Here is a 27,924-nt window from a genome sequence, read left to right as displayed (position 1 = left end):
CATGCTCCCTAACTTTTCATTGGTGTCCTATTAGACCCAGCACCCTGCAGAGTCCAATGGCCCCACGGAGGGAGAGGATCATTGGCAGAATTCCATTCCAAGCCTCCTTTTCCCCTTCTTCTCCCCCTGCTAAAAGAAGAGGCTAATCTCCTGCAGTATTTCCTCCTGGGGTGGTCCTGCAGCTGAAGATGTTGCAGTCTCAGGATGAACAGCCTGTTTGTTTAAAGGGCTTATTACTGGTGCTTAATGCTGTTTTGACAGATGAAAGTGAGTCAGTTATAGCTGGAAATAGATCTGGCTGCATCAGTTTCTTCCAGGTGGTTGCCCATTCCCCATTCAAGGGACATTTTCTCTCCTTAACAAAGGGCAGTGTTTCTCCTCTTATCCCCAAGGACTCCAGAACCATCTCAAGAGTTTCCTCCTTCTAGGAAGGAACGATATTTAATATTTAAACAGTCCACGAGATGAGGGTTGCCACTGCAGACCTACTCTGACAGGGATGAAGTGAAAACATGGTCCTGAGAGACCAACCTCTAGGATAAAGTATGTAGCCCCATTGAGCCCCGTGTCCATATGGGGATCATTCTGGCTCCATCAGACACACATGTGGCTGCTCCTTATCGAATGTCTCTCTCGGGCTTTCTTGGGGGCAATGGGTTTTCCCTGTTGATACCCATCTTAATGAGACCAGTGTTGGTCACAGGCTTGGGTGACCACAGTCACCATGAGGACAAGAATCCTTTGTGGGTGGCTCAGAGGGCTTCCCAGGGTCACACTGAGTTATGCTAAGTCCCCAGTGAAGAGCATCCTGATGCCCCTCAGTCAGTGGGGAGTCTGTACACTGGGCTCCCTCACATCCCTGGTGATCTGCCATGTGGTTGGATGGGCAATTGGGTATAGGGCCTGACCCCAAGCTGGGAGGTCAGGAGTGTGGTAGGATATACATTTGTAACAGGCATCTCACACTTCGTATGCTCAAGAAAGAACTCCCTTCCACAATGCCCCCAAACATGCATGGGCTTCTCTAAGCTCTGCTATCACAGACTATGGCACTGCCACATTGTGCTTGTTTGCTTGGGCTTGTTTGCTCAAACTCTAATTCTAAGAGTCATCCTGGATTTTTCTCTTTCTCTCCCCCATTATGGTCCTTAAATAGAATCCACCGGCAAATCCTGCTGCCTTTACCTCAAAATTTTATAGCAAATCTGACCAACTCTTAGATATCCCATGCCATAATCCTAGCCTAAGCCATCATTATTTCCTGCCAGAGCTATTGCAGCAGCTTCCCAACAAATATTCCAGCTTTCATTCTTGCTGGAGGGATCTTTTAAAGACACAACTCAGGTCTTCTCCCTCACCTCCTTCACTGCCCCTCAAACTTAGAATCAAACCCAAACTCTTTACCATGGCCCACAAACATATGTGCATTCTGGCACCTGCCTCTCTCACCAACATCATCTCCTTCCCCTTTCTCCTTGCTCACTCTGTTTCAACCACATTTGTCTCTTGGTTGAACCTTGAACACACCCTCCTACCTCAAGGCCTTTGCACTTAAGGTTCCCTCCACCTGGAAGGTTCCTACCCCAGATCTGCACATGGCTGGTGCTGTTTTGTCCCTTGAGACTTAGCTCAAACCAACTTCTTTCTAGAGAAGAGTTTCCTGATAGCACCATTTAAAAGTATCTTATTTATTTGTTTACCTGTAATTTATCTTTCCCTATAAGAAAACTTAATTGTTAATGAGATCTGAGATCTTTATTTTATTCACTACTGTGTCTTAGTGTATAGAACAGAGCCTAGCGCATAGTAAGCACTCAATAAATATATGCAGAATGAATGTGTGTAAGTTTTAAAACATGTACACAAATTGGCACTTTCCCATTGAGAGGCAGGATCTATGTCTACTCCCCTTGATTCTAAGCTAATTTAATGACTAGGTGACTAGTAGATGATAATAGAAGTGACACTATGTGGTCTAAAAATGTGATGCAGCTTCTGCCTTGGTCTCTGGGCCACTTGTGCTAGAGCCTGGGCCACCATGTACACGTCTGACCACTCTAAGGCTACTATGCTGTGAGGAAGCCCAATCTAGCCCATGCGGAGAGATCATTTGGAGAAACCCTAATATAACATAAAGAGAGAGAGACGCATGGTCAACCCCAGCTGCTTCAGCCCCCCACTGTTTTACTTCTAGCCAGTCTGACTGCACCTGACCTAAGAACCATCCAGGTGAGCCCTTCTCAGATTCTTAGCCAACAGAAATTGTAAACAATATAAAATGGATGTTGTTGTTTTTTTAAGCCACTAAGTTATGAGATGATTTTTACTGCAATAGATAACTGGAAGAGAGTGAATGAATGATTAATATTAAACTATTTTTCTTGTGGCTGCTATCATGGGCACTAGTAAATTCCTAGCCAATTTACTGATCCAAGTGCCAGGGAGATCTATGCCAGGTCACATGAATGGGAGGAAACAAGGAGGAGATTGGGAACTACTACTTGTTTGGCTGGGGCTGTTTAAGAATGCCATCCAGGTTGACATGGACTTCTTGATAGGAATAGTTCAGACCCTCCTCAACATTTCCTATTTGTTTTCCTTAATTCTTGGAATCTCTTTCCTGGAATTAGAGATCCAGGCCTAACCAGGAAAATCCTTACCTAATTAGTTACATCAAAACTCTTCTTAAAGAGAGTGGATTCCATTGCTTTAACTCTCCCTATCTCTTTCATATTGCCTAGGTAAAGTTCCCCTCCATCTTAGAGAGAAGACCTTGTGGACAAAAACATATCCTAAGAGACGCTCCTTTGAAGATCTCAGCCCAATCAGTAAGATGTGCTCTGTAGAGTTAGAGAATATTGCACTGAGACATAAAGATAGCGATGATTGATGATAACATTAAATGTTTCTACCGCAATTTTACTACGCATTTCACGTACATTATCTCATTTAGTCTTCACATCCTCCAATGTTACCATTCCCACTCATATTTCCCTGAAGAGGCAACTAAAGTTTAAAGAGATTAAGGTGAATTACTTGAAGTCAAGTGCATCTGATCCTGATTTTCTTGAAAATCACACACCTGGGATGGTATGTGACTTGCCAGCCGCCATCTCTCCTCCCATGTTCATGGCGTCTGTTCCCATTGAGCCTCAAGACAGCCCCACCCCCAAGATCATTCTCAACTCAGTTCCCTAGGCAGGCACTACCCATTGGTCAAAATTGGCATGCCAGATGAAACCCACTTGCCAAACCCCCTCATCTCTCAAGGAATGGAGGCTCAGAAAGGCCAGGTGACTTGCTGAGGCCATCCAGCAAATGAGTGGTGGAGCTGGGATGGAAATGCACCTGGGAAAGGGATACTGCCTACCAAGAATCTCCCACACTTAGTGACGGTCCTACTGGCCTGTAGGGAGGCCGCTCACCCGCGAACGGCGTGCAGCAGGCGCAGCGAGGGGTATGCAGTGCGCACGTTGACGTGGTGCTTCAGGATAAGCTCGTTGACCCACTCAACACGCTCCTTGCCGCCCCGGGCCATGAAGGCAGGGATCCACAGGATGCTGCCATTGAGGCTGTGCAGCCGTTGCAGCAGCTTCTCCCGCCACGTGGCATTGACCAAGTCCTCAAAGGCCCGCTGGATGACCGAGGGGTTCATGGTTACCAGGTCTGTCTTGAGCCCCACATCCCGGGCATACTCCTGTACTGGGGCCAGGTTGCACCTGCCGGAGAAAAAGGCAACATGATCCTTTTGGGAAAGCTGAGACCCCTTCCTCTGTTTAACTCGATCCCATCCTTTGCCTCTCCTTGCTTCTTTCTCATCCCCAAACAAAGACCCAGGGCATCTCTCCACACTCACAGGCCCCTCCCATCATCCTTTCTCCTCCTTTTTCTGCCACAAAGGTTTACTGAGCTCATATCGTGTACCTAGAACTTTGCTAGACCCTGTGGATGTAAATGCCTGTCTTCTGGAGTTCAGGATCTAGGAGAGGAGGAAAGAAGCAAGTAAGCCAGTCCTCAGTCCACAAGATGATGATGCTGTTGCCAAGAGTGATCTGGCCCATTAGGTGACAGAGTGAGGGATCTGAAGGCAGACTCCCAGGCTCTAAACTGGCTTGGACACTTTCTACCTGTGTGAGTCTGGGAAACTTGCTCAACCTCTCTGTGCTTCCTGAGACCTTCCATTACTTTAGCTTTGATAGAGATCACAACAGCATCCCTCCCAAGGATTAAAAGAATTGCTATATGCCCAGTACTTAGAACACTACTGGATATAATAAGAGCTTGATAAATGCTAACTGTTGTCATCGCTCTTATGGGAAGGAGGAGTGTCAGGTGGACTTCCCTGAGGTGGTGACCACTAAGCAGAAGTCTGTTAGTGGACAAGGTACACGAAAAGAGTGCTTCTCCAGTTTGCCAAGTCAGAAGAATCACCCCAGGCGCTCGTTAAAAATATAGATTCCCGGGTTCCTCGGCTGGAGATTCTGATTCAGCAGGTGAGCCTAAGCATCGATACCTATTTTTCACAAGCTCTTTCTCTTCAGGTAGTGTTATAGCCAAGCAGGTTAGGAATACCATGCTAGAGCACTGTAGGCACAAGAAAGGCATCCAAGGGCAGAGAGGTGAGAAACAGCATGGGTGTTTAGGGAAAGGCAAGTGATCTGGTCCGACTGGAGCATATTGTGTGGAGGAGATGGGCTTGGGGAGGCAAGCAGAGTGAGATATCAAAGGACCTGTGTGCCAGGGACTTGGTTCTGGGGGCAATAGGGAGCCACTGAGGGTTCTGGAGCAGGAGAGTGACAGGGACGGTTTAGAATTTTTGGCCACGATTAGAAAGCAATGAGATGAAGTTGCAGTATGGATTGGAGGGGATGGATTTGGGTACTGGAGGGCAAACTAAGAGGCCACTGCAAACTCATGCTGACAATCAGGCTGCCTGGGTGAGCAGCCTCTGCTATTTAACCTGATGACTTCCTTGTGGGAGACCCGGCCTGGGTGTGCACACCTGGGTTTCCTGCCTGTGCCTAGGACTGGGATGGCAGCAGAGGGCACTGCAGGGGAGGTCTGGCTGCTGTCTGGCACAGAGGATTTAATGGTGGAAAAGCCCTTTGACCAGTGAAAATAAGTCTGAGAAATCCAGTTAAGAGTGTAAAAATAGAGGCTGGAGACATGAAGACAAGGGATCACAGGTCATCATCAAACGAAGAAATCCAGGAACGTACCATTTATCCTCCCTTTAAGCAAGGACTTTCCTTTTTCAACAACTGGGGAGAAAAAGTGGGTTAATCAGAAAGAAAACTAATATTTTTTGAGCCCCTGGTGTGTGCCAGGCACTGACTGGTCCTTTAACATAGGTCAGCTCTTTTTTTTTGTGACCCAGTTTTAATCACCCTCCTGTCACACAGGAGGAAATGGAGGCCCAGTGTGTGAGAATCAACTTGCTCAAAGGCCCAGAGCTAGAAAGGGAACCACCAGGAGTCAAGATCAGGTATATTTGACTCAAAGAGCCTGTTTGTGATTTCAGACTGAACCCCCTAAAATATCGCGTCTTCCCATCCCTGCCCCTAGGCCTTGCTATCTTTGACTGTGGCTAAACATTGTAAGCAGATAGGATTGCCCTGGGTCAATTCACCTTCAGGAGCCCTTGCCACAGGCCTCAGAGACTGAGGTGTCACTGCAGCACATCAGCCAGTGTGGGGCTGCTCAGGTCTCAGTTACTTTTATTGCCTTGAAACCCGGCTGAGCCAGGCTTCCAAGGCCTTCCTGAGGGTCCTGGGGCCAATTCTAGGCCAAGCTCTGGGTCCTGAGAGCAGGGCCAAGTGGACTCCATGCAGTTCAGATGGATTGGGATCAACCATGGGGCAGGAGGGGCTGTGAAAGAGGCAAGGAGAATGAAGGGGATGTGGCACCTGACCCTGGCGGCTCACGAGGGGTGAAGCAGGAAATATACTCCCAACTGCAATGTTGGCCAGTCTGGGATGCCACCTCCTGGAAGATGCTGTGGGTAATGGGAACAGGGGCTGTGAGCTCCTTGCAGGCAGGCCCCAGCCCTCATTCAGTATAGGACTCGGCTCACAGTAAGGGCTCCATACCTTACCTGCAGAGACACAAGAAGAGGCAGGCAGGGATGGGCTGTGAAGTCCAAGCTTTTCCAATGACTGTGCCTCAGTGAGGATGCTGGGTTGGGGGAGCTCTGCCCTAAGTGGACTGTCTAGATGTCTTCCTTCCCCACCAGATGTGAATTGCTTCATTTAGTTGAGAAGGAGGCGTTAGGAAGGGGTTCAATCTGATCTAGGCTCTCTTTTGTCCAACAGTAGGCCAGGCCTCCCAAAGTGACTTCTGAATGGGCTTGGCTCCGGGCAGGAGAGGAGTCACTCCCTTCCAGAAACCACCACACCTACAGGTACACATTGAAGAGTACTCTGCAGGGTGAGAGAGGCAGCTTGGGCAGGCTCTGGAGGCCAACTACCTGGTCCACTGCCTGGCTCCAGCCCTCACTAGCTGTGTGGCATTTGCCTCTCTCTGCCTCAATTTCCTCACTGCAAAGCCAGGATAAAAACAGAGTGCTCCATACAGAATAGCTGTGATAATTAAATAAGTTAATAAACATGAAGTACATAGAATAGCACCTGGTACGTTCAAAGTGGCCAAAAAATGGTAAGGGATAACAGTGATGATGATGTGGTTTATCCATGGAAGGGCATTTGTTCATCAGATTCTCCCTATGGAAGAAGTGCGTGTGTGTGTGTGTGTGTGTGTGTGTGTGTGTGTGTGTGTGTGCATGCACAGTGAAGTTCTGTTCCCCAAACATCTGGGAACTTATACTCTGCACACACGATCCCAGATAGACACAGTGTCCTCAGCCTGGCACTGCAGGATCGTGGGGCTCTCCTGGGCCCAGCCCCTCAGACATTCCCAGCAGCACTTTGTGCAGCTGACGCTTGCTCGAGCAGTGCCCTGCCGGATCCATGCATCTGCCTTCTTGCTTCCACACCCCTCTTCATGCTGTTTCCTCCTCCTCACCACTTTTACTGGTCAAAGGCAAGCCACACTCCAATGCCGCTTCTGCCGGAAGCCTGCCCTGGACTCCCTAGGAGGCACTAGGTTTTGCAAGATAGTTGCATTTTGCGTGCCATGTGTCCCACCAGGACTTACAAGCTTGTGTTCCCCACACAGAGTTTTCTGAGAGGGGGTGAGGTCTTGCGTGTCTTTGTGTTTCTCCCACAGAGGAGGTAGGGTGAATGGATTGAAGACTTGGATTGGCAGAGACAGAAACCTCCATCAGGAGCTTCACAGCGTCTGCCATTCTAGTAAAGCCACATGGAGGCCCTCCTCTGGCCTGGCACAGCCTTGTACGGGAGGCCCAGAGATGGACACAGCCACTCTGCTCTGGAGGAGCTCACCACCTGGGGGTGAGGTGGGTGGAGTGGAGACAGAGTCCATGGGGAATTAACACTTAGTGTCCCTGTTGTGTGGGAGAAACCATCCCAGGCGTATTCACATATGCCGTCTCATTTAATGCTTGCAACATCATGCTCTCTTTACTGTTAGTGTGGGGCTTTGGCCTGTAGGATATTACCAAGTGCAGGGCACGGAATAAACTCCTAGATGGGAAGAACCCAGAGGAATAGTCCCAGTGGGGTGGAGGAGCTAGTGCCACTGCTGGGTATCGTATCCCTGATGTCAAACGTAAGTCTGTACCCAGTGGGGCTGCATAATCTTGTCCTAAAACACCCCACAGGTCCACCCCAGAGACACGTGGGAGTTTCAGAGCCATGGACATAGGCCTAAGGGACAAAGAACAACTGCACTTTTTGAAGTAACTTGCTCCTTGGCATTTTTGACCCATATTTTCCAAGTATGTGTGGATGGGTGTGGACGTGACTCCCAGGAGTGAGGCAGAGCACACCCCGGCTGCACCTGTCCACGTGCAGTCACACACCAGCAGTGGCGTCCCCTGGGGTGCTTGTTAGAAATGCTGAGTTGCCGGCTGTACCCTAGACCCCAAAACTCTGCATGTCAATAGGCCCAGGTGACTCCTGTCCATGGTAAAGTCTGAGAAGCACTGGGCTGGAGTACAGACTGTATTCATAATGAAAGAACCTCAAGGCCAGCCAGTCCACCCAGCCCGTTTTACAGATGATAAAACTGAGGCCCAGAAAGGCAGAGAGATACACTCCAAGTCATGTGACAAATGGGTAGCAGAGCCAAGGCACAGCTTTGGACTGTGCGCTGCTGACTATGTGAAAGGGTCCCAAAAGGAAACTGTGGCCAAAATCTGCCTCTCAAAATTCCTGGGTCAGGACTTCATGGGATGTGTAAAGCTCACTGTGGGGACTCATGACTTGTGACAATGGAAGAGGCATGGCTTACATGTGTGGCTTTAGGTCAGACAGCCACCCCCCCGCCTCCCCCGGATACTGCTGGGCACTCCTGGAGAGGATCCGACCCCTTGGGAGGAGGCCTTGGCCCCCACACACTCACCTTTAACACCCACCCGTCACTCCTTCTCTGGCTTCCAAGCAGACAGACCAGCCACTCTTCCTTCTTCCTTTCCCCTCCCCTCACCCTCCCTCCACCAGTCTTTAGGCTAAAGGGCTTTGAAAAACAGGGACTGAGCTGTTGGATATGCCAGGCCCAGACAGACCTGGCAGAGGATGACAAAACTCTGGCTGCCAGGCTGTGGTAGCGTTTCAATCCCAGAGGATGCAAGAGTAAAGACACGGTTTCTTCCCATGTCCCAAGGTTTAGGGAACTCTACAATAGGGCGGCTTCCCAAAGCCCCAGGACAAGGCTGTCTTTGCCTCGAGTTGGTCCCCACAGAAATATGAGAACGTTTGCGGTTCTGCCAGGGCTGGGGAGCCGGCTGGAATGAAACTCGAGGCTCCGCGTGCCCTAATTTTGACCTGGAGACAGCAAAGCCTTGTTTCCATGACTGTAGTGGGTTGGGGGTCAGGTGGCAGGGCCATGGGCAACCTTGTGTGCAAATGTCCCAGGCAACTGGAAAATGAGAGCTGATATTTTAGAGAAAATTATAGTCAGGTACAAAATTCAAGTTTCTCTGTTACTCCCGCACTTCCCAGATTTTGAGAACAGGGTAATAAAGTCACTAGTAGGGCACCCCCTCCCAAGACACTTACAAAGAGTTTTGCAAACTTGAACCAACAACTGGCCAGCCCAGGAGATTTTCTTACCAACCTTTTGTACCAGGCTCTACCTCAGGGGATCAGCAAACTTTTTCTATAAAGCGCCAGATAATGACATTTTTGGCTTTGCAGGTGATATGATCTCTCTGTTCTGACTCTGCAATTTCACCCAATGATTTAACCGTGCCCAGTGACTCCACTCTCCTTGTAGTGAGACAACAGCCATCAATGATATGAAAACGGGTGGCATGGCTGTGTTCCAACCAAACTTTAGGCTGCAGGCCAGCATCTGCCCATCTTTGCTGTGGATCAGTGATTCTCAACCTTGGCTGTAAATCAGAATGACCTGGGCTCCCTGGGTTGCCCGCACCCCTGCCACGCCTCTCTTCCCCTCTCCTCCATTGATTTAATTGGTTTGAGGTACATTCTGGACATTGGAGGCGAAGCTCCCCAAGTGATTCTGATGAGCAGTCATGGTTGAGAGCAGGGGCTAACTCCACCAGGGCCTCTTGTTTCAATCTCTTGGGACAGCTGGCAATGCTCCACTGAAACACAGCCTGCCCGCCGCTCTGGCCCCAGAGTGCCTGCTGGGGCATGTTACCTGATGACGAAGCTGTGGGCGTCAATCTCCTGCCCACAGCCGCTGTTCAGCAAGACCCCCGAGTTGCCCACGATGGCACAAGTCCCAAAGTGCTTATTCTTCAGTGGCGAAGTCCTGGGGAGGAGCTCGTAGAGGTTCTGGGACACATTCATGGTGCTGTCTCGATCGAAGATGTAATGAATAATATCTCCAGGCTTCAGGGTTCCCTTTAGGACAGAAATGTCCTTTTCAGCATCCAAGAACTTTAAAATCTGCTTCCTGTGAAAACCAAACATGCGTGAGGAAATTCTCCAGGGTGCCAGCTGCCCTTTGCCAGCCCAGCTTTTCCTATCCAGGGTCGCCCTGCACGGTGGCTGCAGCCCAGCAAACACGCAGAGTATGATGAGAGTTCAGATGCCCTCGAGAACAGGTTCCAGCCAGGGATGGCCAGAAGTGGCCCAGAAGCAACTACGGTGGTGGCCAATATGGGGGTTGCCAGGGTTACACCCTCTTCCTTTGCTAGGTGAAAACTGCCCTGTGGAATCACTCCATTAGGGCTGGAGTGAGCTCCTCACAGCGGGCCCCAGAAGGAAGGGTGGCCCACCACCCCAGTTTCCCCAGGACTGCCTGGCTCGGGCACTGAAAGCCCCATGTCCCTGAAAGCCCCACAGTCTGGGGCACACCCAGACATTTGGTGAGCTTACATTACCCTCACTGTCTTAGGGGGATTTAGGGCCATCCTCTGACGGGGATGAAAATGAATGGCTAGGTATAAAATCTAAGTTTCTCTGCTACTCCCACACTTCCTAGATTTTGAAAAAAGGATAATAAATTTGTCTAGGAGCAGAAAGCCAGATGACAGGCGCCTCTCACTCCTTACCGGCCCATTTTCTTCCACGGAAGGTTTCTCTGGGCACATTGCAAAGGGGCTTTCTGGGGGGATGGATACTGTGACGTGTATGGACACTTTCTGCCTTTGAGACACCGAGAGGATGGCCTGCCATCCTGCAAGCTGGTGCACGTCCCCTTGCTGCCCCCTCTAGTTGCTCTCTAGTGTTTATGGGGGGATTGTAAACATGGACCCCTCCCAGTTCCACGGAGAAGGGCTCCTTTGCATTGTTTCAGAACGAAGCACAGCTCTCTAGGCTCTGGGGTAGCTTTGATTTAGAGAAAGTTCTCGAATCGAATCATCTAGCAAAGCACAAAGAAAGGATGGAGTGGGGTCAGGAAAGGGATGGGTGTCCTCTTAGCCTTGCCAGAAAAGCTTTACCTGAAACACACAGCCTTCTGCCAAGGAACCTGAAAATCCTAGCTGGGCGTTTTACTTAAAGAACTGTTTAAATCACCTGAGATTTTAAGAAATGATTCCAGTCATAAAGAGAAAGGAATTGAGTACCTAGATAAGCTGAAATTAATTTCATATTCTGCTGCAAATTCCTATCTAGAACAGATACAAAGATGCTGTTCTTTGTTTTCAGAGTCCTGGAGGTGCAGAATTTTCATGCACTTTGCAAATGTTAGACGCTGCAGGATGGCTGTCCCATCTCGCAGATAGTAACACTGAGGCCTGAAAGCCTGCTGGATTTGAGATGTTCACAACCTATGGTACGTTCCAGTAGGCTGCACATTCAGTCACTTGGGGAACCTTTAAGTATTTCAAATTTCCAGGCTGACATGTGAGAAATCTTGATTCTGAGAGTGGCCCAGTTCTCAGCATTGCTCTCAAAAGCTCCCCGGGTGACTTTAATGTGTGTCCAGGTTCAAGAGCCTCCGGGGCAGCCAGGGGGCAGCTAGAACACTTGGTAAGCTCGGCGCGTCTCATCCATTGTCTTTCCTTATTGATGACCTGCCTCTCTTGCTATCATGTAGGGGAAACCACCCTTGTAGAATAATTCGTATCTGTTGATGGAAAACAGAGGCACTGTTTTTATTTACTGTGCTTTACCAAGGATTATATGACTTGACAAACTAATATAGTTGGGAAATTGCTGAAACCTTTGCAATTACTTACCCCAAAGCATTTAAAAACAAAGAGAGCCCCTAGAAAGCCCATAAATAAACACCTCTGTGAGTGAATTAATTTCTAACTAATTAGGAGAAATTACCATCAATTATTAAACATCATTCCAAATCACTTGCAGAATCTTTTATTATGAATAATCTTGGTGATTAATTGAAGCTGGAGGAAATTCTTTTTCCCTCTGGGTAAAGGTACATTGTTGCTGCTGAAGGGACTGTGTTTGCAGGGTCTTTATGAAGGACACAGTCTCGTCTTCACAAGGGGTGGGGGAGCTATTTCTCTATCCAATGGTTGGAGAAAGGGACATTGGGGACCATGGGTAGCTCATACTGGCAGGAGGATTTCATTCACGGTGGTGTAGTGGGGAGAATGGTGACCCCCTCTAAAATATATGCCCACCTCCTAACCCCTGGAACCTGTGAATGTGACCACATGTCAAAAGAACATCTTTGCGGATGTAATTAACTTAAGGATCTGGAGATTAGATCCTGGATTACCCGGGTGGGCCTTAAATACAATGACAGGTGTCCTTATAGGAGACAGAAGAGAAGAAGATAGAAGCACAGAGGAGAGGGCCACGTGAAGATGGAGGCAGGGGTTGGAGTTCTGCGGCCACCAGAGGCTGGAAGCGGTGAGAGGATGGGTTCTCCCTTGGAGCCTGCAAGGGGGTGCTCAGAATTGTGGCATCCAGAGCGGTGCAAGAATACATTTCTGTTGTTTTAGGCCGCCGCCGCGTTGTTGGTAATTTGTTACAGCAGCCCTAGGGAGCTAATGCAGTTGGGGTTGCTGACTCCACGGTGTCCCTGATCAAAGGGGGCGGTTGTTAGGGCTTCGTGAGGGGGATGGAGGGCCACCAGGAGGCCTCTGAAGAGGCGGTAAGTAAGGAGTGCAGGGTGGCAGGGAGTCAGCTACTTCAGATGGTTTCTCAGCTGCTAGGTCCCCAGAGCTCATGCCTTTCAATTCCCCAGCCCTGCACAGGTCCCAAAACTAAGCTTCAAGAACTAGGGTGCAGAGGCATTTCCATTTTGACAGTGAGCCTTGTGGAGGGGGCAACTCCCTGCTCTGCGTGGTGACATTGCTGATGGCTGCTCTCCTCTCTCCCCATGGTATGGCCTGGGATGGTCATCAATCATTCCCCGTCTGGTCCTGCCTATCGTCCCAACCTTACCCCCCTATTCCTTGCCTCCTGCTTCCTGCTCCTGCAGCACTGTCCACAAGCACCAGATCACAGACTCTGTGCATGTGGGAAGCAGCTTGGTGAACTCCTAATTATCCTTCAAAACCCACTGCTCCTGGCCAGCCTTTCCTGGCCAGTCTTCTTAGTCCTCTTACAAAATGAATGACTCTTTGCTCAGTATGGCCTGTTTATTTCCATCTATGTGTAAGATGCAGCACCACCTCATGTGTATGTCATACCACGCTGTCTTGTCTTTGCTTATATTCATGTCCCCAGCTAGCATGTCTGATTCATGCTAGCACTCCTGGGGCCCCAGCACGATGCCTGGAACTGAATAGTTGGATTATACTTACAAATATTTGCTGGGTCAATCATGGCTATATCTAAGCTAAGTGTCCAAAATGCCGAAGTTGTAATTCCTTCTCTACGGTTCCCCATTGCCACTACCCGATGATGGCTGCAGTGCTCTGAAAACATCACTCTGCACAGATCAGGACGAGAGCTGCTCTCTGGCTAAACAGACCTCTGCTTTCTGGTCGGGTGTCATGTCAGTTCCTGGGTTCTCCGGATGCCCCTATGGCTCTAGGTTTTCATTTTCACGTTGTTAGGGAGGAGCAGCCTATACAAGCCCAAGGGCTGAGAGAGGGAGCAGCTCTCCAGGAACAAACTGGAGGACTGTCACTGAAAGGGGATGTGACTCCCAGGCAGACCCCAACAAGTAAGGACTCTTTATGCCTGGGAAGAAGCAGCCACCTGTGGCCTCCACTGCCCAGATTCCCTCTGCTGCTGACCCGAGACTCAAGGTTTGCTGCTTCTAAGCCCAGAACCTCAGCGGGTGTTCCTGCCACCGCCTGGCCCCAGTCGCCACATACACAGGCTGGGCCGCTAGGCTTGTCTCGGGTTTTTATTTCCGATTGATCACTTACAGATGAAACCTGCCTCAGTGGGAGGTAAACATTTTATTTCTATCCTGACTTCTTTAGATGACGAAGAGAAGCAATTTGCCCGTGTATGCTCAAGACCAAGTCTACCTCTTGTCCTGTAGGTAATTACCAGTACCTGATCCTCAGAGAGAGCGTCTGGTTATGTCTCCATTTGGACGAGGCTGGCTGGATGTTGTGCTTGATGCTTTCATTACTTCTGTCAACAACAGCTGGTGATGAGGAGCCGTTTATTACAACTTCAGCTCTGGAAGGGAAAAAAAAAGAAAGAGGGTAGACATGATGTGTTAGCAAGCCGACGACAAGTCTAATAGTTTTGTTTTTGCACGGGCTTGAATGTAAACTTCTCCAGAAGAGCAAAATTGCAGTTATTACCTGAGAAGAGAAGGAAGTCTATTTATCTTCCAGTAATGCAGAAACTCTGTCCCTAAGGTATAACCTACATACATTGTTGGAGACAGGAAGGAGGGTGATAAACTTATTCTTCTTCCCCTGCCCCTAGTGATTTTTTTTTTCCTGGTAAAACCTGGCAGTCACTGTCAGAAGAGTAATATTTCTTATTCAAGCTATTGATAAGAAACTCTACAAGGAGCAGGTATATGAGCAACAAAGTATCAAATGATGGTCTTACAAACTTAAAAGAGAAAACAAGAACTCATACCAGGACAATGTCATTGTAGCCTGTGGCTTCACCCTCCTCCCTGGCAGCCCCATCACTCTCTTGAGGGTAATTCTGAGATATGCTCCTTGAAACATGGACCTTGTTACACAGTCATCTGTGCTGTGTCTGTCCCTCATAGGAGACTGTACGCAAGGGATCTCCCACATTCATTTTATATTCCCTAATGGTCTAACATAGCGGGTGCTCAATAAATAAGTATTGTTGAATTTAGGTTGAAATCGATCCCGGGGGAGCCTGGAGTGAATGAAAGAACTGGCTGGCTTTATACTCCCTGGGTGGATCACGATTCTGGGTAAACACCCCCTTTCCATCTGACTCAGGAACACCAGGTATTATAGGACTGGCTTGAATTCAGAGGCTTGAAATCTATGCTAGTAGGTTTCTATAAACTAGGTTACAATTCTATCTTTAAAGGCAGTGTAAGAGTTAGCCGCCTTGCTGCTGGATGCACACAGATATATGTGGGTCACATCCAAAGTTCTTTTTGTCTGTGCTGACAGCAGATTCTCCCAGTTAGAATAAGTGGATTTGTGATGACACATTCTGAAGCTTTAAAGAGTTCAAACCAAACATCTGTGTCCTCTCCATTTATCTTGAAACAGCCAAGTTAAAAAAGATGAAATCCTGTTAGTGAGTTCTAAACCTGACGCTCCACTTTGACTTTTTTCTTTTTTTTTTTTTGGAGACAGAGGCGGGCTCTGTCACCCAGGCTGGGGTGCAGTGGCATGATCTCAGCTCACTGCAACCTCCACCACCCAGGCTCAAGCAATTCTCCTGCCTCAGCCTCCTGAGTAGCTGGGATTACAGGCGAATGCCACCACACCCGGCTAATTTTTGTATTTTAGTAAAGATGGGGTTTCGCCCGTTGTCCAGGCTGGTCTTGAACTCCTGACCTCAGGAGATTTGCCTGCCTCGGTCTCCCAAAGTGCTGAGATTACAGGCATGAGCCACCATGCTTGGCCCTAGTTTGACTTTTGCAGGTAGAGAAGGACTTCGCTTAGGGGTGCATGTTGTCTCACACATTCCCTTCATGCACCCACCTCCATTCCTCAATATTTCTGACTCCTTCTGGCTGATATCACTTCTCTTGAATTCAAATATCTGTAACTTCGCAGAGGATAGAGAATTGACGAGTTTTGAGTAAGGCAGAGGAACTCTTCCTAGCATGCAGGCTTAAGGGAGCTTCCGAGAGGGTACACAAGACCTAACCCTTTGGAATTTTTACTGTTTTCATGCAAGACGCATTGGGTACAGTGGAAAGATTTCATAAGCTGTGTGACTGTGGGTCGATAGCTTTACTTCTCTGAGCCACAGATTGCCCATTTATAGAAACAAGGTGTAGAAGAGACAGATATCCATCTCGTGAGGTTCTGGAATTTTCAAAGGAGCACCGATGTTTCTGGCATGCCCCACTGGCTGCCACCTCATGAGGCTCTAGCAGGAGCTGGCATTGCTGCATCCTTTTGATACCACCAACTTCTATGCAGAACACAGGCAGGGGCACTGACCTCAGCGACACAGAATTAGCGGCTTCACCCCAGCTTTGTTGAAGCCTACCTCAGTAGGCACGCACAACAGAAATGCTTTAATGTTGGTGATGAGGAGTTATCGCACTAAGAGGCTAGCTGATGTACTCATCAGAAATCAGTGACTGGGCTCTGGTGTCTCATGGCTTAAGGTGGGTTCAGTCTAGGGTGATGCTTCTCAGAGACTGGGGCACACTGGATGGCACTAGGCTCAGGAAAGAAGGAGCTGCAGAGGAATTCTCCCGTGGATGCCTGGAGAGGAGACCTGCTTGGAAACCTCCAGGAAAGGTTTCCAGACTTCTCCTGGACACAAGATGGCAAAGGCTGGAAAGGGAGAGAGATAAATGCTGGTGTGGGTAATGGTAAAATTCCATTTCTCTCTCCACTTTCCAGGGTGAATTTGGATGGCATCCTGCATAGCCCATCATGGTCTTAAGGGATTTTAACCCTGGCTCAGTTGCAGTCTACCTGGGGGACTTGGAAAAGTCACTTCAGATTTCTAGACTCTGCCTTCTTATCTGTAAAATAAAGGGGATGGATTAGAAAACTCCAGGGTCCACCTCGGTTCACAGGTTTTACATGCTGTGTGCTGCACAAACACGTTGGATTGGTGAGTTGAGATATTCCTTTTCAATGAATGTGTTCTCCTGTTTCCAGTCCCCTCCCCCATTTCCAAAATGACACTAGAGGTACATTTCAGGCTTAAGTTGCTTCACCTCCCGACTCCTGAACTTCACTCCCAGTGACCTTCTTTTCATGCCACAGATATATCCACAGTAGTAGTAACAAGCATCAAATAAGTACCTTTAACATATCAGGTGTTGGGTTAGATAGATTCTTACATTTGGTGGTTCTAATCCTTAAACACTCCTCAAAGAAGACACTGCAGTATTATTCTAATTAAATGGGGAAGCCAAGGCTCAGAGGGGTAAAATCACTTGCCTAAGGTCCTGGCTAACAAACACTGGGGCTGAGGCCAGGGCTGCCTGGCTCCCAGGACTGTTTTTTTCCACTTCTCATACTTGATTCATATGAGACTGTGGCCCCTCAAGCTACCACGAGGACTTGGGCTTCAGGGGCAGGATCTTCTTTCTCCGAAATGGGGCATCATTTCATAATAGAACAGAGAGAGACTTAGGAGCACATGGCCTTCTTTCTTTCTGCCATATTCACATTTCACCTGGCATAACACGGGCTTCATTCATAGCTCCAAGGTGGCTAAGAGGTCATTAGAGAGCTAGAAGCAATGATGTCAGGGACAGAGGGAACAGTTTCTCGAGTCAGTCATGCAGGGTCAGGGACAGATGTACTTCACAGGTCTCATACAGAAAAGAGATCTAAAAAAATATGGAAGGGCAAATAATAGACAATCCTCTGCATCATATGGACCTCTTATTCCCACAATGACCAAAATAGGATATTTAGAAAGAAAAACAAGGCCCTGATTTTGAGTAGTAGCCTTTGTTTACATCATATAACTTGGCACTTCCTTCCACCGCTCCTTAAGCTCAAGCTTATAAGACTACAGGCCATAGCTATGGGGCACTTGTCATTGATGGAGAATGGGGACTCAGAAGCATGGTGTAGCCACAGCCAGGGGCAAGCCTGGGTTTGCACGCTGTCCTGCATCAAGCTGTCCCCTGGCAATGACTGTTCTGCACCATTACATGAAGTAGAAACACTCTTTCAGAATTTGGAGCGTACGTTCAATAATCAGGGTTAACATTACTGTGTTGACTCCCTAAATATTTTAAGAGGTCTCAGCAAAGTTCCCGAATGCTTTATTTTCCATCTTAACCTCCTGGACGAGCCATTTACCACAATGAAATTGAGTGAAAATGCTGGTTCCCTTCAGGGTCTCCATTGCTCAGCAAACATGCAAGTTTGAGTAAGCTCATTGGTGTCCCAGGCATTACAAAGTGGGTGGGCTGTTTTCCAGAAAGTGACTCTTACCCATCTGCATTTTCCATCTCTGCAGCCTCTAGACCTTGGGCCATTTCATGTGATCTTCCATTGACAGCTCCCCCCAAAAGTGATTAGGGAAATGCAAAGCCAAAGTGAAACGAAACAGATCTATTTGCTAAGTAAGAAGGGCACCATCCAGCAAAGAAGAGAAGCAGATTAATAGCTGCCTTACAGCAAAAACAAATGAACACAAAATCTAATTTACAAACCTATTAGATTTGCTATGTAAGCTGTTCACAGCTGATCTGATTGTACCTCTGCCTCCCGAATTCCTGCAAGACAAAGGAAATGCATTATTTATAAACCCAGCTCATCTTTGCAAAGCCCTCTTCAATTGCCAGGAGATCCCATAGCCCACCTGGAAAACTACAGAGGGTGGAAGAGACCTCATTCTGGACTCTGCAGAATGGGCAAAGTCCTGGCCCCAGACACAGCCCAAACATTTTATAGGGTGTGGACCTCCTGGATCCTCCCCTGCCCCTCTCCCCACTTGAATATTGTTCCAATTAGTAAGTAGCCAGGTTCTCACTTGAGTCCCTCATTTAAGACGGCAAATAAACTCCCTGGGGATTAGTCTCCCCTGGTGAATCCCACAGGATAGCATAATTCAACATGACTCAGCATCTGCTCTAGCATGACTCAGCACCTGCTGGCTGTCTTCTCTTGCTTTCACTCACATGTAGTGAGCTGTTGTCCATTGCATTCTCTCCAACTTTGAGACACCAGAAATTCAACAGAGGCAGCAAGGTTAACTCAACAGTGCCTCCATTCAAATGTGATCATAATTTGCTCTTTGGTGGCAAAAGAAATAGTATTAAGTGGTGTCACTCTACTGGGAAGTGAGAAGGGTGTATGTGAGTCATGAGATCCCTTGTTTCTTCCTCTGTAGGATAGGCTTTTGAAGTAAAAGCACTCTAAGGCCCTTTCCAGCCCTACACTCTATTCGGTTCTGCCAAATCCCATTCTGTCTGGCCACACGGTTTCATCCCGCTTCACTGACACGTTAGGTTGGTGGATGGATAAATACATGTGCCTCGAGTACCCCCGACTTTTTGCCCTGCATGTTTTAGAAAAGTTGTATGTGAGATTCATTATTTTTATTAATTAAAAAATGATGGGGTATGCGGTGTGGGGAGGTACTGGGTGCTTTTCTCAGTTTTTAAAGTTCCATTTAGCCTTTCAGTCAAGGTGTTGGCAGACTCCAAATAAATAATGAAAATCACTGGGGAAGCTGTGTATTGAAAGGAACCTTGTCATTAAATGAGAACACTGCGGGGGGAGTTATTGCCTATCCACACACTGGTTTTAAGTCTGGATTTTGTATCTGATTTCCTTAGGATTCACATACTTGTATATATCACATTGTATGTGCACACACATGTGTGTGCATGCTTATATGTACATGTCTTTTCCAGATAAATTGTCTTTTCAACATTATTTGGCAACAGGCTATATTTACCCATTTCATAGGCAGATAATTAGACAACAGAAAGGGTATTATGACCTACCCAGTGTCTCACTTTAGTTCTCCCTTAAGGTTCCAGATTTCATCACTACAAATCTAGTTCTCAATTACAAAGAGTAACGTTGGGTCTTCTCATTTTAATTTGATGCCTAATATTTATTTTTGTCCCTCCCCATTTCCCCTTGGAAATATCTCCTTGGGATAACAGTGTTCTTGTACTTCCATGTTGGGGTCCGGGAATGTCGGGTCAGCTCCTGTCCTGTAACCCACATTCACCTGGGTTGGGTCCCAAGGGCATTGCTGGATGTGCTATGGCCCGTGGGTCACTGTCTGCTCACATGCCACCAGCTGGACCCTAACCCTCAAAATCAGCCCTCCTTGGGGAGAGGGGAGACCTGCTTGGCCAGACATTAAGTCAAGCAGAGTTAATTCTATAAATAGTTTGGAATAGTTGGTTAATGATCTGGTGGTTGAGTTGGGAGAAAAACAGTTGAGTGTCACCTTACTCTAGACAGAAAAAACATCACGGATTTAACAAATGTTTCCCAAACTTTAGTAATTTTCAGATCCCTATCACCAGTTTTTCATATTTATCAACTGCACACACTATTATCCACTTAAATTTTAAAACAGACCCATCTTTAAAAACTTACCCTTACCCTAAGCAATATCCTCTGTGAAATCAGGTTTCATGTCTTGATTACAAAGTTATTTAAAAAAACCCTACACTACCATTAACACAAGAATATTTATCAATAGAATTCCTAAGATAATCTTACATTATCACGACGAGTACCAGGAGTACCTGCACCACCCTCTGAGAAAGACAGAATGAAACAGTTAATTTTTGTTTGTTTGTTTGTTTGTTTTTTTGAGACCGAGTCTCCCTTCATTGCCCAGGCTGGAGTGCAGTGGCGTGATTGTGCATCACTGCAAACTCCGCCTCCTGGGTTCAAGTGATTCTCGTGCCTCAGCCTCCAAATAGCTGGGATTACAGGCACCTGCCATTACGCCCAGGTAATTTTTGTATTTTTAGTAGAGACAGGGTTTTGCCATGTTGATCAGGCTAATCTCAAACTCTCGGCTTCAGGTGATCTGCCCACCTCGGCCTCCCAAAGTGCTGGGATTACAGGGAGGAGCTACTGCACCCAGCCAGCCTGGCCAAAACAGTTGAATATTTAAAGAAAGAAACCCACAAGAAACTGGTAAGAACAGGGAAGAGGATATTCATCAAATCTTTGATGAGGGCTGAGGAGTGTATGGGAGGGACTTTTTAAATTTAGAAGAAAAAGAAGAAATTACAAAAAAAAATGTCGACAGATTTAACTTTATAAAAATCCAAAATTTGGCTTGTACTAAAAGCAAACCTCAACAAACCCAAACCCAGTTTCTTTCATGAAATCTAAGGTGGCTCTGGATGAGGATACCAATATATCTAAGTTATTTTTTTCTTATTCATTCAACAAAAATATTTTGAGTAATATTATATTTCAGGCTTTGGCCAAGCTAGATATATATAGTCCCCGTGCTCATGGAGTATAGCTTAAGAGACAGTAGGGATGCATTAATCTTTGCTTTTTTTTTTTTTTTTTTTTGCCAAGTGCCCAACCTCCCACCAGCTTTATTAAGACATAATAGACAAACAAACTGTGTATATATACTATGCGTAACATGATGTTTTGATATCTGTATACATTGTGAAATAATTAAATGAAGCTAACTAACATATCCATCACCTCATACACTTACTTTTTCTCTTTGAGATGGAGTCTCGCTCTGTCACCCAGGCTGGACAGTGCAGTGGCCTGATCTCGGCTCACTACAACCTCCACCTCCTGGGTTCAAGCAATTCTCCTGCTTCAGCATCCCGAGTAGTTGGAGTTACAGGCGCCTGCCATCACGCCCGGCTAATTTTTGTATTTTTAGTAGAGATGGGGTTTCACCATGTTGGCCAGGTTGATCAACTCCTGACCCCCTGACCTCAGATGATCTGCCTGCCTTGGCTTCCCAAAGTGCTGGGATTACAAGCGTGAGCCATCACGCCCAGCCCACACTTACCATTTTTTGTGTTAAGAACATATAAGATCTACTTTCTTAGCAATTTCAAGTACACAATACAGTATTATTAACTGTAGTTATGCTGTACAGACCTCTAGAACTTATTTCTTCTGTCTGAAACTTTGTACACTTTGCCCAATACCTCCCCTCCTCACAGCCCCACCCCCAGTCCCTGAGAGCCAGGCTTGGAGGAGACCAAATGCCTTGAAATAGCTGGCTCCAGCCTTTCTCTTTTCCTGCTTCCAGCCAGGTCCTGGAGAACTCAAATCTCGCTGATTTGGGATACTACAAATCCATGCACTTTTCCATGCCAGTTCTTACTCAAACTCAGGGGTTCTCAACCTCGGCACTCGATATTTTGGTGGAGATATTTCTTTGCCGGTGAACTCTTGTTTTCTGCCTGGTGCCTCTCAGAAGAGGAGTCCCCCATGCCTCACCCCCGGTTCCACCAGCCCGCCCATCCACATCATCTTTCCATGCAAACCCCCTAACCCAGCATCGGTGCCTCCCTTCCAAACCATCCCAATTTTCAATTCTCAGCTGCCATTTCCTTTTTTCCCAAAGCACTCAATTCTATTATAGCATTTGCCACCTTCTTCTCATATTTAATTACTTCATGGAATCACAGATGGGAGGCTTTACAAAATCTTGTCATTTACACAATTCGAACTCCTCCTCATACAGTCAAAGAGACCAAGGCCTGGGGATTTGTGTGCCAGGTTCGGCTTCCTCCTGCGGGCCACAATAAAGTGTAAGTCCTCGAGGGGGCGTGTTAACCATGTCTTTTATTTTCTGTATTCCAATGCTTTGACATCTGGGGCTTTTCTGACGCTGGAGAAACTGCCCCTCTCAGGGTTAGCTGATTTCTAGAGACAGCAAACGACTCTTCCTGGGAACGCTCCTGTCAAATTGCAATCTTGAATCCACACCCCTACTGTCTCATTTACTGGGGGCCAGTATTCCCCTGCCCTGTTGTAGGGCCAGGTATTCCCCTACCCTAAGTACCCTAGGCTAGGTACCATGCAACTAGCGACAGCTCCCACCCTGCAGAACCTGCTGAAGTTACTCAAACTAGCCAATCCTAGACCCGCTCTGGCCCCACCGTGCCCATTCTTTCCTGTGCAAACCACAATAAAGGCTCTTACCAGTTTCCCCCTCCTCCTGCCTCCAGACCAACCCCAGTATCTCCTTGTGTAGAGCCCCGTGATGTGAGTATAACAAACTATCTTCTTCGTGGCAGTCATTGCTTCATCTGTTGGCCTTGACATACCTAAATAATAACAGAACCTACAGTAAAACAGAATAGAAGCCTGTCTTGTTCACTTTCTTAGCCTTGCACAGTGCTTTGCCCCATTGGGACTCAGTGAAGCAAATCAGGCTTCAAGAGTTAAGTGGGGGTTTTCTTCTGAAGTCGTCCCTGCAGTTTATGTGCTGTGTTCCCGCACATTATTTACACTTGTACAAGACACTGCTTCACCTCTCAGTTGTTCATAGAACAGGGAAGACCATCATTCAAAGAAACTGGGCTGCAGATGTTTGGCTCTAGAATAAATCACAGGAATTGATGAGGGATTTGTTTTTTCTAATTAGGTTTTGCCTCAAATGTTATTAAAATAAGCTTATATTCCTTGCGATGGGGAACTGCTGATACCTGCCTGGTTGATTGATAGAAGATGATCGGGTAAGAAACATTTGCTAAAGATAATTTATAGAGTGCTGAAATTGTAGAAACAGAGATGCTTAGATCATCCAAATGAGAAAACATATGGGGATACTTTTTGCACACTATAAAGAACTCTATAGAATAAGGTATAATACTAGTAATAACAACTGTCCATTTGACCCTGCTGCAATATTCTCAACCATTGTAAGGGTAGAGGTTGACGACTTTAAAGGTCTACATTTTAGAATGTCAATTTTTACTTTGGGAGGCTGAGGCGGGTGGATCACCTGAGGTCAGGAGTTTGAGACCAGCCTGGCCAACATGGTGGAATCCCATCTGTACTAAAAATACAAAAATTAGCCAGGTGTGATGGCGTGCGCCTGTAGTCCCAGCTACTCAAGAGGCTGAGGCAGGAGAATCACTGGAACCCAGGAGGCAGAGGTTGCAGTGAGCTGAGATTGCCACTGCACTCCAGCCTGGGTGACAGAGCAAGACTCTGTCTCAAAAAAAAAAAAAAAGAATGTCAAACTTTTTTTCACACTATGGACATTATATTCTCTCCTAGTAGAATGTACACAGTAAACGATGATAGTAAATAAAAATGGTATGTTAAAAAAATGTAAAACAAAATCACACCACACACAGCTGGATCTATTCTAGTGAAAAGCAAGTAGCAAAACCTGAAAACTGCATTTTTGCTTAGCCTCTTCATCCAAGCCCAATTGTTTATTTTATTTCATTTTTAATAATTTTTTAATTGAAAATTCGTAACTGTGTATATTTATGGGGTACATCATGATATTTTGATATATACACCAAGCCCAGTTATTTATAGGTAAGGTAAGGTCCAGTATGTTGGAATCTCCTAGCTGTGTTAGAATTTCCCACGTTTACAGTTTCTCATGGGAGAGTCAGGCTCAGAATGAACTTTCAGGAGCTGACAATTTTAATTAAGAGTCTAGAGCCAACTTAAACAGGTGATTAGTCTTGAGAATAGAAGATGAAACTAAAGCACAATTCATGAATTTGCAGATGGTTCTTCCTTCACATTTTTGGGAGACTAATGAATGCTTTTTTTCAATTTGCACATTAAAGCCACTGAGGTTTATGCCTGTTGACAGCCCAGGAACAAACTCCAAGGACACATGGACAGGAGAAAAGTGAGGAACAGGATGACTTGGGGTCAGTCACATGACTACAACCAGGGCTGTCAACAGTGGTCGAAGGCTTTTAAGAATTCTTCCCCTGAATCCCAATTTTTAAAATCGTGGTAAAATACGTATAACATGAAATTTACCATCTGCTATGCTTGAATGTTTCGTTCCCTTCAAAATTTATGGTCGAATAGGAAAATTAACCTCCAATGCAACAGTGTTAGGAGGTGGGGCCTAATGGCAGGTGTTTAGGTCTAAGGGCTCTGCCCATATGAATGGGTTAATGCCACTATAAAGAGGACTTTTGGGAGTGGGTTCACTTTTTTCTGCCATTCTGTCACGTGAGGACACAGTGGTCCTCCCCTTTGGAGGAGGCAGTGCTCAACGTGCCATCTTGCAAGCAAAGAGACTGGGCCCTGCCCTGCTGGTGCCTTGCTCTTGGACTTCTCAGCCTCCGGAACTATGAGAAATAAATTTGTTCTGTCTAAGTTGCCTAGCCTGTGATACTCTGTCATAGCAAAACAAAATGGACTAAGACAACATCTTAACCATTTGTTTTTAAGATGGAGTCTTGCTCCATAGCCCAGGCTGGAGTATAGGGGCGTGATCTCAGCTCACTGCACCCTCCACTTCCCAGGTTTAAGTGATTCTCCTGTCTCAGCCTCCTGAGTACCTGGGATTACATGAGCCACTGCGCCTGGCCCATCTTAACCATTTTTAAGTGTACAGTTGGGTGGTGTTAAATACATTCATAATGTGCAAGCATCATCTGTCTCCAGAACTTTTGCATCATCTAAAGAGAAACTCTGCACTCTTTGGGCAAAAACTCTCCCTCTTTACATCTTTTCCCCATAACTACTATCTACTTCCTATCTTTATGAATTTGCCTATTTTAGCTATTTTATGTAAGTAGAACCACACACTATTTGTTCTTTTGTGTCTGGCTTCTGTCACTTAGCATATGTTTTCAAGGTCTCATCTGACACACAGCACGTATCAGAAGATGTGGCATTTGATGCAGAAGTTGATACGGCAGTTCTAAGGAGGCAGAACATCACAGAGATGAGCAAGGAAAGACCCCTCCAAAGTGGTAGTGTCTAGAGTCTTGAGCACAGATGATTAGAATAGCAGTAGAGGTCCCACCAGCTGACAAGTGCTTGACTGGCTCAGGCACTCGCCTGCCCCAGAACTTACTTGGCTAGGAGCTTTTTGAATTTGTTGTCTGCAGAACAACCAAAGGTGCTACCCATCTTCTTTTCCACCTGAGGAGGTGGCTGTACTTGGCCAAGTGCTTAGATGGGCAAGGGGCCGCAGCCTTGGTTGACCTAGTACAGATCCTCACCATGAGTTTGGCAATGCAAGAATCTTCAGTCACCCCAACACAGTGGGAAATAGCGCCCTATCCTTCGGCCTGGGCCACTTTGCACTCCTGAAGAGATTCCATCATGGGGTCTGTCTGATTCACCTTGAGTAGGAGGCAGTTGCCCGAGTCCTTGTCTGTAGTCTTGGTAGTTCCTTTCCGGCTGGGCACAGGGAGATGATTCCCTGTCACATGGATATAACCTGCACTAGCAGAGAGCTTCTGCCAAGTTTCTCGGTCATCCTGGTCCAAGGCATCTTCAGTAGACACCACCGAGTAGTCCTTGATGAAGGACTTGTACCTGCCTACCAGCTGGTCAGAAGTGATGTAACTGCTAAGGACATCTGGAGGCTTGAACATCAAGGTCATATTTCCTGAACTGTAAGAACTAGAGGCTATTGTCCATGCCATTCACTACTTATAATACAGCCAGGCTTTCTAATCACATTCCATAGCAGCTCCAGTGTTCTGTATTCTCTAGGATATGAGTCAGCAAACTTTTTCCAAAGAGGCCAAATGTAAATATTTTAGGCTGTATGGGACAAGAGGAAAAACAGATGGTACTATGCAGGTACTTAAGTAACAAGAGAGAAAATAAGTTTCTACCAATAATTTATTGACAAAATTTAAGCTATAGTCATAATTGAGACCACGTTTTTGTCATAAAAAACTTCACTAGGCCTGGTAATGAGAATAATGTAATTTTGTGGGGGAGGGCACATGATTTTGCTTAATTAGGATTCAAAGTTATTATTCCAGCCATCATGACGGAAAGGTAGCCTCGTTCTTCTACAAAGCCTTTCCTTGGTTCTCTGAGACACTGTTATCTTCCCTCTTGTGAACACACCAGAATGTGATACCTGAATCTCTCTTTAGGAACTTACCTTCTACCTTTAAAGCACTGGGGAACTTTTCATACAAGGAAGCACGTTAAGAGAGTAAGCTCGGAGCTAACACTCGCTGGGTCTGTAATTATAGCTGAACAAATCATTATCTGTATGATCTTTGAGTATTACTTAACCTATCTAGAAGCTTCCATCTGTTTTCTCATCTATAGAGTAATAGTATCTACTTCATGGGTTCATTGTAAAGATCACATGAGCTAATGAATGCAAAGAGTAAGAACAGTGTTTGATTTATTGTAAATCATTTGATACTGATGTTATTCTTCTTTTGAATTTTTCTATTTTTGGCTGGAGGACAAGCCATGTAATAACAAGGAGCTGGCTGGATTTCACCTGTGAGCCAATATTTGCTAATTCCTGCTCTACGATGTGAAAAGCAAAACACCCCTTGTCCTCACTAGGAGGAATCTTTGCCATATTTCTGCCTGATGACATCCTTCTGGTAAAGCACGGCTTTCCTGAGGTTACGGTTCTAGCAGGGAGAACCATGAACTCCTGCACTGCCGGCCCATTACCACTGTGAAAACTACCATGGACCTTGCTGAAAGCTGGCATTGGCTAGATACTTTTGGATTGCCAGCCAGGACCCATTGTGACAGTATAGGTGGCTCCTTGCAGCAGCTTCAACATCACAGACAGCAAGCAGCACTTCTAGTAAGGTCTTTGCACCCAATTTAGATGTGTTCCCAGTTAGATTTAAATTCATGCCTTCTTCCAGTTTGTTACTGTCCCCCAATTTCACACACACAGCTTCTTGCTCACCAAGACGGGCGGAATAGCTTTATTGAGGTGCTCAACAGCCTTTGAGATACTTTTCCTATACAGCAAGTCTTAGCCTTGTACTGAAGCTCTTGAACCTCATAGATACTGAGACACCGCTGGGCACAGCAGCTCTGGAGACCTATGCTGGTTTCAGCCTTGATAGTGTTGTTTCCATGACAGTTGCCATCTCTGGTATTGGGCGTCTGAGGGTGTTGCAGGGGCCAATGGGGAGAATTTTGGGTGTCTCTCTTTTTATGATGACTCCTGAGCTCTCCTTATTGACTGCTCAGTTCTTTTCTTGCCATCCCTTCTGCCTTCAATTTAAACATTAGCTTGATTGGATTTATCTTTTTGCTTCGATTCCAGCAAACTTTTGCTTGTTAATCAGCTTTTATTGGTGTACAAAAAGGTACCAGCTCACCCTTGGCTCTCTCCTTTGCTCAACTTCAGAAAACATCCCTGAGAACTTTGGGCTTTCATTATGTTCCAGCCAATTTCCCTAGTCTTTACATAAAGGTACTTA

The 27,924-nt window shown here is 46.5% G+C and overlaps 1 protein-coding gene and 1 pseudogene across 3 annotated transcripts in view, besides 1 other annotated feature; both read right to left on the bottom strand.

Moving 5' to 3' along the window:
* ST8SIA2 (ST8 alpha-N-acetyl-neuraminide alpha-2,8-sialyltransferase 2) overlaps positions 1-27,924 on the bottom strand; it is a 74,848-nt gene that overhangs the window by 20,374 nt on the left and 26,550 nt on the right. For 2 of the 3 annotated variants that reach the window (NM_006011.4, XM_017022642.2), the window contains exons 2-5: positions 18,244-18,306; positions 13,980-14,108; positions 9,745-10,002; positions 3,426-3,719 (exon numbers count right to left, since the gene is read on the bottom strand). In NM_006011.4, coding sequence (NP_006002.1) covers positions 3,426-3,719; positions 9,745-10,002; positions 13,980-14,108; positions 18,244-18,306 — 744 coding nt within the window. The remainder of the gene's footprint in view (positions 1-3,425; positions 3,720-9,744; positions 10,003-13,979; positions 14,109-18,243; positions 18,307-27,924) is intronic. The other variant, NM_001330416.2, reaches the window with a different exon arrangement.
* Positions 17,928-19,127: an enhancer, noted in NCBI's record as "MED14-independent group 3 enhancer chr15:92972458-92973657 (GRCh37/hg19 assembly coordinates)". NCBI's record gives its function as "activates an origin of replication core promoter dependent on BRD2, BRD4, P300/CBP and CDK7 cofactors, and independent of MED14, by STARR-seq in HCT116 cells {active_cell/tissue: HCT116}" and the evidence as "EXISTENCE:reporter gene assay evidence [ECO:0000049][PMID:35650434]".
* ENO1P2 (enolase 1 pseudogene 2) lies at positions 25,568-26,221 on the bottom strand (annotated as a pseudogene).

The sequence above is a fragment of the Homo sapiens genome, chromosome 15, assembly GCF_000001405.40.
Source record: "Homo sapiens chromosome 15, GRCh38.p14 Primary Assembly".
Lineage (NCBI taxonomy): Eukaryota > Metazoa > Chordata > Mammalia > Primates > Hominidae > Homo > Homo sapiens.
The sequence above is the reverse complement of the archived record's forward strand: the minus strand, read 5'-3'. Positions and strand labels throughout refer to the sequence as shown.